The sequence below is a fragment of the Homo sapiens genome, chromosome 16, assembly GCF_000001405.40.
Source record: "Homo sapiens chromosome 16, GRCh38.p14 Primary Assembly".
NCBI classification, from domain to species: Eukaryota; Metazoa; Chordata; class Mammalia; order Primates; family Hominidae; genus Homo; species Homo sapiens.
Window position 1 is genome coordinate 50,009,468 of NC_000016.10, and position 14,416 is coordinate 50,023,883.

Sequence of the window (14,416 nt, forward strand, 5' to 3'; positions counted from 1 at the left end):
TTGAAATGTGAAAAGAACATGAGATTTGGGAGGGGCCAGAAGCAGAAATATATGGTTGGCTCTGCGTCTTCACACAAATCTCATCACAAATTGTAATCCCCACATGTTGGAGCAGCGGCCTGATGGGAGATGATTGGATCACGGGGGCAGATTTCTCCCTTGCTGTTCTCATGACAGGGCGTGAGTTCTCATGACAGCTGATGGTTTAATGTGTGGCACTTCCCTTCCTGCTCACTCTGTCCCCTGCCTCGATGTAAGACATGCCTTTCTTCCTTTTTCCCCTTTTCACCTTCCACCAGGATTGTAAGTTTCCTGAGGCCTCCCCAGCCATGCAGAATTGTGAGTCAATTAAACCTTTATAATTACCCTTTATAAAATCTTTATAATTACCCAGTCTCAGGTATATCTTTATAGAAGTGAGAACAGACTAATACACAGGGTGCTGAATTAATCTGTACAACAAACTCCCAAAACAAGAGTTCACCTGTGTAACAAACCTTCACATGTACCCCTGAACCTAAAATAAAAGTTTAAAAAGAAAAAGAACAGCAGTAGGCCAGGTGCAGTGGCTCAGGCTTGTAATTCCAGCACTTTGGGAGGCTGAGGTGGAAGGGTCACTTGAGTCCAGGAATTTGAGACCAGCCTGGACAACATAGTGAGACCCTCATCTCTATAAATTTTTTAAAAAATTAGCCAGGTGCGGTGGCACCTGCCTGTAGTCCCAACTACTCGGGAGGCTGAGGAGGGAGGATCACTTGAGCTAGGGAGGTTGAGGCTTCAGGAGTTATGATCGCACCACTGCACTCCAGCCTGGGTGACAGAACAAGACCCTGTCTCAAAATGAAAAAGCAAAATAACAGCAGCAGTGATGAGGAGTGGAGTAGAAGGGCTTTCACTGTGTTTGGAGGGAGGATGGACTTGCTGATGGATTGCATGTAAGGAGTGAGGAGGAGGGAAGATCAATAATGACTGCCCAGGCCAGGAGCAGTCTGTAATCCTAGCACTCTGGGAGGCCGAGGCTCATGCCTATAATCTCAGCATGCTGGGAGGCCAAGGTGGGCAGATTGCTTGAGCCCCAGAGTCAGGAGTTTGAGACCACCCTGGGCAACAAAGTGAGACCCTGTATCTACAGAAAATACAAACATTAGCCAGGCGTGGTGGCTCACACCTGTAATCCCAGCACTTTCGGAGGCCAAGGCAGGTAGATCACCTGAGGTCAAGGTTCAAGACCAGCCTGGCCAACATGGTGAAACCCCATCTTCACTAAAAACACAAAACAATTAGCCGGACATGATGGTGCATGCCTTTAATCCCAGCTACCCAGGAGGCTGAGGCAGGAGGATCACTTGGACCCAGGAGGCAGAGGTTGCAGTGAGCTGAGATTATGCCACTGCACTCCAGCCTGGGTGACAAAGTGAGAGAAAGAAAGAGAGAAAGAGAGAGAGAGAGAAAGAAAGGAAAGAAAGAAAGAGAGAAAGAGAGAAAGAGAAAGAAAGAAGAAGAAAAAAAGAAAGAGGAAAGAAAGGGAAAGAAAGAAAGAAAGAAAGAAAGAAAGAAAGAAAGAAAGAAAGAAAGAAAGAAAGAAAGAAAGAGAAAGAAAGCAAGCTACTCAGGAGGGTGAGGTGGAAGGATCACTTGGGCCCACGAGGTTGAGGTTGCAGTGGGCAAAGTTCATGCCACCGCATTCCAGCCTGAGAGAGAGAGACTCTGTCTCAAAAAGAAAAAAAAAAAAAGAAAAAGAAAAAGAATTCCTAGTGGAACAGAGCAGAGCCCAGAAACAGACCCTCGCAGACGTAGAAACTGGCTATAGCCTATGATGGCACTGGCCAAGCAGGGCAACAAAGAAAGGGCTTGGTAAACAGTGCTGGCACACCTGGTGGTCCATGTGGAAATAAAGAGAGATTGAATACATTCCTGACCAGCCCAAAGGCTTCAGTGTGAAAGGCAAAACTTGAGAACATTTAGGAGAAAAAGTGAAAGAAGTTAAGATACATTTTGAAGAATGGATTTGCTGATGGAAATGGGGAGAAAGGAAGGGCATGTATAACTCCTAAATTTTTGGCTTAAGCAACTGAATGGGTAATACAAACATTGATTTTTTGATAGAGAAGGGGTCTCACTATATTGCCCAGGCTGGTCGTGAACTCCTGGGTTCAAGCAATCCTCCTGCCTCAGCCTCACAAAGTGCTGGGATTACAGGTATGAACCACCAACTCCAGGCCAAAAATATTAATAATAATAGCTAATATTTATATAGCACTTGTGGGTGTAGGCCAGGCACTTTTCTAAACACTTTGCAGACACTATCCATTCAATCCTCACAGTCATCCTATGAGAAAGCTTCTCTTGCTATTTCACTCCACAGAGGAAGAACTGAAGCACAGGAGGGTTGCGTAACTTGCCTGAGATCACACAGCTGTCAACTGGCACAGCACTGATCAGCTGCAAAGACACCACAGTGGAAGAGTGACAACACCAGATGTGTGGAGCTCCGCCTGCTGTGGACACACCTGGACAGAGCACTTCAGCCTTGGCAGGGTCTCCTGGGATTTCCAGTCCCCACCTCCCCTGACCTCCTCAGGAAGGTGTGCACACCAATGAGAGGTCATGAAGAGAAGGGGTGTTATGTAAAACGAGTCCCAGAAAGCCACAAGGCCAGGCTGCGCCCTCTCTGAGCAGCTAATTCCTCCAAGAGTACCCAGACTTAGCTTCTTTCACTTTGCTTTAACCTAGGAAAGTTGTTAAATATTTATTATGGGACATCAGTGTGCTTTTTCATGGGGGTAAATATACACAACCTTAAAATACATATATAGCATAATTTCAACATTTTAGCCATTTTTACACATGCAATTCAGTGGTACATGTACATTCACAGTGCTGCGCAACCATTAAGTTTCATTCTCTGAACGCACACCTTGAGTTCCTGATATGTGTCAGGCATGGTTATAGTCACTGAGGAAAGCAAAATAGGTCTTTGCCCTAATGCAGCTCACATTCTAGTTGGAGAGACAGACAATAAACATGGAAGAAATATCAATAAATACAATTGTCACATATTGACAGGTGCTAGAAAGAAAACAGAACAGGGTAATTATGACCATATGTATGGAGCACTTTCTATGTTCCAGCAGTGATCCAAGGGCTTGGCAAGAATTATCTCACAGGATCCCTTCTGCAGTTCTTTGAGGACAGCACCTGCCTCAGTCACGGGTAAGAAAGTAAAGCACAGAGAGCTTCAAACTGCACAGCGAGTAAGCAGGATGCAGTGGTCCAGATGGTGATGGCAGAGGAATACTTATGGCTGGGGGAGGGGTGTAATCCCAGCACTTTGGGAGGCTGAGGTGGGTGGATCACTTGAGGTCATGAGTTCAAGACCAACCTGGCCAACAAGGTGAAACCCCATCTCTACTAAAAATACAAAAATGAGCCGGGCATGGTGGCACGTGCCTGTAATCCCAGCTACTCAGGAAGCTGAGACAGGAGAATCGCTTGAACCCAGGAGGTGGAGGTTGCAGCGAGCCAAGATTGCACCACTGCACTTCTGACTGGCAACAGAGCAAGACTCTGTCTCAAAAAAAAAAAGAAAAAAAGAGAGAGAGAGAGAAAGAGAAAAAGAGAAGTACTTAAGCTGGAGTGATCCAAGTCCTCTTTGCAGAAAGGGCATTGAGCTGAAGCCTGACATTGCAAGAGCAAGCCAGGGCAGGAGAGTTCCAGTGAGAAGAGGTAGCAAATGCAAAAATCCTAAAACAAGCATGGCTCTTTGAAGGATCCAATGGGGCTGGAGCCAAGTAAGCCTGGGAGAGTGCGGGGAGTGAGGGTAGAGGTGGGATGTGGGTGGGGGAGACCTGTGAGAAGCATCTGCAGAGGTAGGCAATGTCCAAGCCTACAGGGTCTTGTGTAGGGCGCCCAACTGTCGTGGTTTGCCTGGGACAAGTTGGTCACCCTACAAGGTGGAATATTCCTCAGATTTTATTTTAAGTGCAAAGGAAAGCAATGAGGAGGTGTTAGATAAGGAGGGACAGGCCCTCTCTGGTTACTGTACCAAGGAGGACCAGAAGGAGAGCAAGAGGTGAAGCAGGGAGATAGCGATGAGACGCTTGCAACCTTCCAGGCAACTGTGTTGATGGCCAGGACTTGGGTGACCATGGTAAGGGTGAGAGATGACTGGATTTGGGATCCATTCTGGAAGTAAGGTGACAGAGCTGATGGATTGGGTAATGGATGTGAGATTAAGAAGGGGACTCAAGGATGATCCCCAGTTCTTGCCTGAGCAAATAGTGGGTGGACACGGGGCCATTTACTAAAATGGTGACCATGGATAAAGAGCAGGTCTGGGGAGAATCAACTTGAGCCCCATGTCCTCTAAGAAGCCTCCTCTGACCCCCAGACTGAGGAAGAAGGGAGGGAGACTCTCGAGGGCAAGAATTCCCAGTTGTCCTGCTTCAAGACCTGGTCCTCCTTCCCTCCCCTGCTTCACCATCGCCCTTAACCCCAGTCTACAGAAGAAAGGCCCACCTCTCGCCCCGCTGAGTTACAATGGGGCGGTGCCCAGGTGCATGGAAGACAGCACTGGCTGCAGGAACAAGAAGGACATCTTATTCAAAATAAGGACACGCTTGAAGTCTCCTCAAACCATGAGCAATAAATCCATCCTGCACTCTTGGCTTTCTTGTCCTGTTTAGATTCTCAGTTAAGAGTGAAGCACTGGCTGGACATGGTGGCTCATGCCTGTAATCCCAGCACTTTGGGAGGTCATGGCAAAGATGGCCGGAGCCCAGGAGTTTGAGACCAGCCTGGGCAACAAAGGCAGGCCCCGTCTCTACAGATAATTTAGAAATTAGCCAGGTGTGGTGGCACCCGCCTGTGGTCCCAGCCACTTGGGAGCCTGAGGCAAGAGAATCCCTTGAGCCCAGGAGGCTGAGGCTGAAGTGAGCTGTGATCGCACCACTAAATTCACTAAATTCCAGTCTGGGTGACAGAATGCGACCCTGTCTGAAGAAAAACGTCTGGTGTGGTGACTCATGCCTGTAATCCCAGCACATTGGGAGGCCAAGGCAGGCGGATCACCTGAGGTCAGGAGTTGGAGACCAGCCTGGCCAACATGGCGAAACCCCATCTCTACTAAAAATACAAAAATAAGCTGGGCATGGTGGCGTGTGCCTGTAATCCCAGCTACTTGGGAGGCTGAGGCAGGAGAATCGCTTGAACCTGGGAGATGGAGGTCACAGTGAGCCAAGATTGAACCACTGCCCTCCAGCCTGGGTGACAGAGTGAGACTCTGTCTAAAAAAAAAAAAAAATGAGTAAAGCATTGCTTTGAATACAAACAATTTTTACAAACATGTTGAGTTTTCACAGGGATTTGCATTGAAAAGTGAAGTAAAGTTTCTGAGAGAAATTAAGTCTGATTTTACTGATCAGTTTGACAATAAGAACTGGCTTTGTGCATTAAAGAAAACGGTGAATAGTGTCTCCAAATCAAATGAACTAAATTGACTCCTTTGAGGTTTTGATGAAAATATATTTAAGATATGTGATAAGATAAAAAGCTTTTCTATTTTTCAAAAAACATTAGCAAAGATGTATCTTATATCACCAATATTACAATTTCCCCAATTGTTTCTGAGCCTATTGGGCTAAACAAGTTGTCTCTAAGTGAAGAAAGAATAGGTAACATTTGTTGCAATTTGACACATTTTAGTAAAGCCTTTTTGATACATTTTCCAGAAACTGAGGGTGTAAGAGAGTCTGACCAAGTAAGAAACCTTTAGCAAGGCCAGGCGCGGTGGCTCAGGCCTGAAATCCCAGCACTTTGGGAGGCCGAAGCAGGAGGATCACAAGGTCAGGAGATCCAGACCAACCTGGCCAACATGGTGAAATCACATCTTTACTAAAATACGAAAAAGCTGGGCATGGTGGTGCACAGCTGTAGTCTACCTACTCAGGAGGCTGAGGCAGGGGAATCGCTTGAATCCAAGAGGCGGAGGTTGCAGTGAGCAGAGATTGCACCACTGCACTCCAGCCTGGTGACAGAGCAAGACTCCATCAAAACAAACAAACAAGCAAACAAACAAAAAAACAAGAAATCTTTAGCAAAACAGGAAGTTTCCACAATACTGCAGGAGGATCTATCTAGAAAGAGCAAGACAAAGATTTTTTTTTTGATGATAGGTCACTATGTGACTTTAATTTTTTAAAACTGTAGTAAAATACTCATAAGTTTACCATCTTAGCCATTTTTAAATGTACAGCTCAATTCAGTTCAATATTAATACCTTCATCCTGCTGTGCAATCATCACCACCATCCATGCATGAAACAAAACTCTTCATCTTGCAAAACTGAAACTCCATACCTATTAAACACTAACTCTCCATTCCCTCCACCCCCAGCCCCTGGAAGCCACCATTCTATTTTCCGTCTGTATGAGTTTGACTACTCTAGGTGCCTCATATAAGCGGACTCAGAGTATTTGTCTTTTTGTGACTGGCTGATTTCACTTAGCACAGTGGCCTCAAGGCCCATCTATGTTGTAGCATGTGGCTGAACTTCCTTCCCTTTTATTGCTGAATAATATTCCATTGTACAGATATATTATCACCTTCTGCTTACCCATTCATCAGCTGGTAGACATTTGCTCCCATTTTTTTACTATTATAAATAATGCTGCTATGAACATTCACATACAAGCCTTTTTATGGACATATGTTTTCATCTTTCTTAGGTACACGAGAGTTGAACTGTTGGGTCATATGGTGATTTTTACGGGTTCATTTGTTGTGTTTTTGTTTCAGACAGTGTTGCTTTATCACCCAGGCTGGAGTGCGGTGGTGCCATCTCAGCTTACTGCAACCTCCGCGTTTGTGTATTATTTGTTTCTTTCAGACAGAGTCTTGCTCTGTTGCCCAGGCTAGAATGCAGTGGTGTGATCACATGTCACTGCAGCCTTCATCTCCTGGGCTCAAGCTATCCTCCCACCTCAGCCTCCCAAGTAGCTGGGACTACAGGCCTGCACCACCATGCCGTGCTATTTTTTTATTTTTTACAGAGATAGGATCTCCCTATGTTGCCCAGTCTGGTCTCAAACTCCTATGCTCAAGACAGCCTCCCACCTCAGCCTCCCAAAGTGTTAGGATTACAGGCATGAGCCACCTCACCCAGATGACTTTATGTTTTTAAGGAACTGCCCAACTTCTTGCCAATGTGGCCACACCATTCTACATTCCCATAAGTAATAGATAAGGATTCTAATTTATATATATCTATCCTCTACAACAATTGTTACTATGTTTTATTATTATTATCATGATTACTATTATAATCATCCTAATAGATGTGAGGTAGTATTTCACTGTGGTGTGATTTTGACTTGCATTTCCTTGGTGGCTAATGATGAACATCTTTGTCTATGCTTCTTGGCCATTCATATGCCGTTTTTGCAGTAGTATTTATTCAGATCCTTTGTCCATTTTGTATTTTATTTTACTTTATTTATTTATTTATTTTTTTTCAGGTTCTCACTTTGTTGCCAAGGCTGGAGTGCAGTGGCACAATCATAGCTCACGGCAACCAAGACCTCCTGGGCACCACTGATCCTCCCACCTCAGCCTCCTGAATAGCTGTGGTTATAAGCACGTGCCACCGTGCCTGGCTAATTTTTGTATTTTTAGTAGAGACAGGGTTTCACCATGTTGGCCAGGCTGGTCTTGAACTCTTGACCTCAAGTGATCCGCCCACCTGGGGCTCCCAAAGTGCTGGGATTACAGGCGTGAGCCACCACGCCCGGCCCTTTGTCCATTTTTAAATTGGGTTACTTATATTTTTGGTTTTTTGTTGTACTTTTTTGTGGGTTTTTTTGTTTGTTTTTTGAGATGGAGTCTCACTTTGTCGCTCAGGCTAGAGGCAGTGGCATAATGTTGGCTCACTGCAACCTCTGCTTCCCAGGTTCAAGCAATTCTCCTGCCTCAGCCTTCTGAGTAGCTGGAACTACAGGCACGCGCCACCACACCCAGCGAATTTTTGTATTTTTAGTAGAGATGGGTGTTCACCATGTTGGCCAGGCTAGTCTCAAATCCCTGACCTCAAGTGATCTGCCCGCCTCAGCCTCCCAAATGCTGGCATTACAGACGTGAGCAACCTGGTTACTTATATTTTTATTGTTGAGATATAAGAGGTTTTTTCTTTCAAAAAATAAATTCTGCCTCCTGTCAGATCAGCAGGGGCATTACATTCTCATAGGAGTGCAAACCCTATTGTGAATTGCGCATGCGAGGGATCTAGGATGCACACTCCTTATGAGAATCTAACTAATGCCTGATGATCTGAGGTGGAACGGTTTCATCCGGAAACCATCCCCCCACCACCTCCCCAGTCCGTGGAAAAATTGTCTTCCATAAAACTGGTCCCAGGCGGTAATGCTGCAATGCTTGCTTGCCTGTTAGTGACCTCCTGCTATGTGGCCCGGTTCCTAACAAGCATTAGACCAGTACAGGTCCTTGGCCTGGGGTTTGGTGGCCCCCTGCTCTAAAAGACTAACATGGTCTCCATCTTGTTACATTTTGTAGACACAGAAAACTTTTTTGGTATGTTTGTTTAATTTTACAAAAAAAATAAAAGGATAAAACTAAAAAATAAATAAATAAATAAATAAATTCTGGATACAAGTCCCTTACCAGATATATGATTTGCAAATATTTCATTAAACTCTGTGTGTTGTCTTTTCACTTTCTCAGTGTTATGCTTTGATGCACAGAAGTTAATGATATATTTTAAAATTAAGATATAATTTACGTGCCATAAAATTAACCATTTTAGAGCTAAGCTATGAGGATGCAAAGGCATAAGAATGACACGATGGACTTCAGGGACTTCAGGGAAAGGGTGGAGCTGGTGAGGGATAAAAGACTACACATTGGGTACAGTGTACACCGCTCAGGTGATGGGTGCACCAAAATCTCAGAAATCACCACTAAAGAACTTATTTGCGTAACCAAACACCACCCGTTCCCCCAAAAACCTATTGAAATATTTTTTTAAGTAAAAATATTAACCCTTTCAAAGTATACAATTCAGGCCAGGCTTGGTGGCTCATACCTGTAATCCCAGAACAGTCGGAGGCCAAGGCGGCTGGATCACCTGAGGCCAGGAGTTTGAGACCAGCCTGGCCAACATGGAGAAACTTTGTCTCTATTAAAAATACAAAAATTAGCTGGATGTGGTGGTGCATGCCTGTAATCCCAGTTACTTGGGAGGCTGAGGCAGGAGAATCACCCGAACCTAGGAGGTGGAGGTTGCAGTGAGCCAAGATCACACCAGTGCGCTCCAGCCTGGGTGACAGAGTGAGATTCCATCTCAAAAAAAAAAAATAAAATAAAAAAATAAAAAAAAAAATATATATATATATATATACATATACACAATTCAGTGTTTTAATTATATTTACAAAGTCATGCAACCATCATCCCCATCTAATTCCACAACATTTTCATCACCCTCATAAAGTATCCTGTATCTATTGTTAGTCACTCCTGATTTTCTTTTTCCCTGGCAACCAGAATTCTACTTTCTGCCTCTATGGATTTACCTACTCTGAATATTTCATATGAATGGAAACATAGGGTTTATTCATTTTGTAACATTTCAGTACTTAATTCTTTTTCATTGTTGCAAAATAGAGTAATAGCCCATTGTGTATTTACCTCACATTTTGTTTATCCATTCATTATTTGATGGACATTTGAATTGTTTCCACTCTTAGGCTATTAGGAATAATGCTGCTATGCACATTCATGCATAAGGTTTTACTTAAATGTATGTTTTCAATTCTCTTGGATATATACCTAAGAGAAGAATTGCTGGTTCATATAGCAACTGTATGTTTATCTGATGTTCACCTTTTTGAGGAACTGCCAAACTATTCTCCAAAGTGGCTGCACCATTTTAAATTCCTACTAGCAATATATGAGTGCATCCTTATGAAATTGTGTGTTTTCTGTCCTTTTTTCTACTGATACGACATATTATATGAACGCATTTTCTGATGCTAAACTAACTTTGCATTCCTGGGATAAATCACATTTCATCGTGGTGTATAATACTTTTGATATGTTGCTGAATTTGATTTGCTAATTTTTTTGAGAATTTTTTGTCTATGTTCATAAGAGATACTCATTTTTTTTTCTTTTCTTTTTTGAGACAGGGTCTCACACTGTCACCCAGGCTGGAGTGCAGTGGTGCAATCTCGGCTCACTGCAACCTCCTCCTCCTGGGTTCAAGTGATTCTTGTGTGTCAGCCTCCCGAGTAGCTGGGACTACAGGCACACCCCACCACACCTGGCTAACTTTTATATTTTTTGGTAGAGACAGGATTTTGCCATTTTGGCCAGGCTGGTCTCAAACTCCTGACTCCAAGTGATCTGCCCACCTTGGCCTCTCAAACTGCAGGGATTACAGGTGTGAGCCACCATGCCCAGCTGAGATATTCATATATTTTTTAAAGGATGGTGGTGAATATCAACCTGCCATGGTATTTCTATTCCATTGAATACATTTAAAAGAATGATGCAATGGGCCAGGTGCAGTGGCTCACGCCTGTAATCCCAGCACTTTGGGAGGCCAAGGTGGGCAGATCACCTGAGTTCAGAAGTTGGAGACCAGACTGGCCAACATGGCAAAACCCCATCTCTAGTAAAAATGGAAAAATTAGCCGGGCATGGTGGCATGTGCCTGTAGTCCCACTACTCAGGGAGGCCGAGGCAGGAGAATCGCTTGAACCGGGGAGGGAGAGGTTGTAGTGAGCCGAGGTCATGCCACTGCACTCCAGCCTGGGTGACAAAGTGAGACTCCATCTCAAAAAAAAAAAGAATGACGAAATAGCTTTCTTTCCAAATGTCAATACCTACAACTTACCAGAAATTACATCTTTTACAAGTATTTAAACCCATGATGAAAATTTGTGATATCATTTTACAAACATGTGACATGGCATATAATCTTGTCAAAATTATTTTACAAGGTACAGCAAGAGAAACTGTATGAAGATCACTGTCACTGTTATAATCATTTTAGGGAGCCACCAGAGGGTTCTGAGCAGGAGAGCCATGCTATCTTTTAGTGTTTTACAAAGCACTGTTGGAGACGGAGTAGAAGCTGGAAGCCAGTTAGAGGCCACTGCAGTAATCAAGCCCAAATGGTGCTGTGGACCAGGTAGTAGTGAAGGTGGTGGGAAGTGATTCTTTGGTGTTGTTTTTGTTGTTTTTCAGACAAGGTCTTGCTGTCACCCAGGCTAGAGTGCAATGGTGTGATCATAGCTTACTGCAACTTCAACCTCCCAGGCTCAAGTAAGCCTCCTACCTCAGCCTTCCCAGTAGCTGGGACCACGTCCAAATATTATTTTTTTCAGAGACAGAGTCTCACTGTGTTGTCCAAACTGAAATATTTAATATATGTTGAGGGTAGAGCTAATAGGGTTTGCTATCTGATCTGATGTACCACGTGGAAAGAGAGAACGAGAGAGAAGGAATATATCTCCAGCTACAGGGTTCAGGGTTGATCAACTCATCTACTCATCTATAAACTCATCTCTGAAATGAATTTGATAGCACCCCTTGGCTCATAGAGCTGTTGTTGTGACGTTTAAAGAAGATTCAATGCTCCTGAACTAATAAAAGGCAGAGTGGCAACCCCCTAGTAAAAGATAACCAACTTTAACTATTTTATAGGTGATCTCTCTTAGCAGCTGATCTTCATCTTATCATTGCTGTTTTAAGGGTCATTAGTGTTTTGTCTTCTTTTGTTTTTACACTAAACTCTACCTTCATAGACAGTAGGAGTGAGTCTTACAGATCTTTGCATCTTCAGCTCATACTCTAGTGCCTGGAACACGTCTTCCTTAAATATGTGTTACTATCTCCTCCTTGCCAAGTCCCATGGATATGAAGTTCCGAAATCTGTTCCTTTTCATCTCCCCAACTACCTCATGGTCCAAATTCCTTAACCTGACTATGAGACCCTATTTTCCTGTCTCCCTCCCCTATGTCCCCCAATCCCTCTATCCATAAATGTAGACACCAATGACAGGCAAATAACATGCACCCTTTCAAAAGCATGTTCAATATTTATTTTAACACAGTTGAGAGTGAAGGATAGCGAGGCAACACCCCAGGAGGTAGCCCTTACTGTTCCCTCTGTTGTCCCAAGCTCTTGCTAGAAACTTGCACACCCCCCTCAGGCAAACAAAAGCCCTGCAGTTAACAGAACTGTCCCTTTTGAAGGCAAGTCAGCAAAGCCTCCACTCACCACAATGCTTTGCAATGCCCTATTCATCAGTCTGTCTTCACTCCTCACCTCCCCAGGATCTAGCCCAGGAGAGCCTGTCATATAACAGATGTTCAATAGCCATTCTCTAAGCACTGCTGTGTGCCGAAGGGAAATGTGATGAATTAGACTTGGAGATGGAGAAATGGAACATTGAGCAAGAAGTCAAAATGGGTAGTTTGACTTAGGGCTTAAAATCAGGCTATGACAATAATTGTGAGATCCGGGCAAACTGATTTTTACTTTCTCTGTTGTGAAATGGGCCGTGATGACTTTCGAACTTTCAAACTTTTTTTTAAAGTGGAACTCTCGGGTATATGCTTTGTACTGTGATGAGAACACGGTGAGCATGCACACACATCCACACACAACGGAAACAATAGGCCATGAAACCCCACATCCTTACTTCCAATTAGGTTTCTTTTTAGTTTTTTTTTTTTTTTTTTTTTTTTTTTTAGACAGGGTCTCACTCTGTCACCCAAGCTGAAGTGCAGTGGTGTGATCTCGGCTCATTGCAACCTCTGCCTCCTGGACTCAAATGATTCACCCAGCACAGCCTCCCAAATAGCTGGGACCATAGGCACACACCACCATGCCCAGCTAATTTTTTGTATATTTTGTAGAGAGAGGGTCTCACCGTGTTGCCCAGGCTGGTCTCAAACTCCTGACCTGAAGCAATCCATCCGTCCCAGCCTCCCAAAATGTTGGGATCACAGGCGTGAGCCACAGTGCCTGGCCTTAATTCATTAAAAAAAAAATAGTCATCATGTGCCCCATAAATATATACAGCTACCATGAACCCACAAAAAAATTAAAAATAATAATAATAGTCATGAATCAGTACATAGATTTTACAAACCTCTCTAGATTTTGACCCACGGTTTAAAAAATATCACCTGAAAGGGTTAAGGGTGATAACACATGGAAAGGGTTTGGTCCCAAGGAAGGCTCCCTAAGTGGAAAACTGAAAAGTGCTATAGTAGAGGAACCTTCAAAATGAAGTGGTGGGTGGGGGTGTCAATTAATTCTGCTGACAAATGGGAAGGAGGAAGGTTGAGGATGAATTAAATACACAAAATACCAATAGGGGAAAAACTGCAGTGCTGCTTAGAACCTTCTTAGCCCTCATCTTTGCATGGCTGGATTCTTCTCATCCATCTTTTCATTCTCAGCTCAAATGCCTGTGCCTCATGAAGCCCTCCCAAAGCATGAGATCCTGCTAACCTTCCTTTTTCTCACTGTATCCTATTACTGTTACTCCCTCCATAGAACTGTCAACTAAAGGATCATGAGGTTCATAAATCTGGGGAGGAGAGCTTTATTTCTGCTTGTTTGTTTGTTTGTTTGTTTGTTTGTTTGTTGAGACAGGGTCTTGCTCTGTTGCCCCAGCTGGAGTGCAGTGGTGCAATCATAACTCACTGCAGCGCCGAACTCCTGGGTTCAAGCAATCTTCCTGCCTCAGCCTCCTGAGTATCTGGGACCACAGCCACATGCCACCATGCCCAGCTAATTTTTAAATGTTTTTTGTTTGTTTGTTTGTTTTTTGTAGAGACAGAATCTCACTATGTTGCCCAGGTTGGTCTGGAACTCCTGGACTCAAGTGATCCTCCCACTTCAGCCTCCCAAAGTGTTGGAATTACAGGCATCAGCCACTGTGCCTGGCCTAAAGAGGTTTATTTCTGAAGGGTTGGAGCCTGCAGGCTGGCCATCCTTATAGGCTGGGAAGTATGGTCTCTGGCAGAGACCAAAAGCAGGCACTTTGAAGGAGGAAGGGTGAAGCAGGAATTTATGCCAAATGGGTTGGCCAAGTATACATATTTAACAGGTTATAGGAGAAGCTATTCAGGAAAGAGGGGTGCACACATGCATAATAAACAATCATGCATGTTACATGGGTCACATGTTCACTTTGGGGTAGAGACTTAACATTTAAATGCATTACAGTTAGACCCTTTACGTCAAAAGGCGAAGCAGAGAACATAAAGGCACTCATTGTGCAGCCTCTGTAGACTGGCTAGGGCCAATCTATGGTGGGTGGTCTCTTATCAGGAGAAAGTTACTGAAATCAGTCTCTTGTCTAATGAAAGCAGGAGTTATGGC

General features: G+C 43.9%; 2 annotated features.

The window, feature by feature from the left end:
* Positions 6,397 to 6,446: a silencer, noted in NCBI's record as "silent region_7465". NCBI's record gives its function as "represses an Ori minimal core promoter by ATAC-STARR-seq in GM12878 lymphoblastoid cells {active_cell/tissue: GM12878}" and the evidence as "EXISTENCE:reporter gene assay evidence [ECO:0000049][PMID:35858748]".
* Positions 12,025 to 12,531: an enhancer, noted in NCBI's record as "NANOG hESC enhancer chr16:50055403-50055909 (GRCh37/hg19 assembly coordinates)". NCBI's record gives its function as "activates a minimal SCP1, AML or CMV promoter by ChIP-STARR-seq in naive and primed H9 embryonic stem cells {active_cell/tissue: H9 hESC(naive and primed)}" and the evidence as "EXISTENCE:reporter gene assay evidence [ECO:0000049][PMID:30033119]".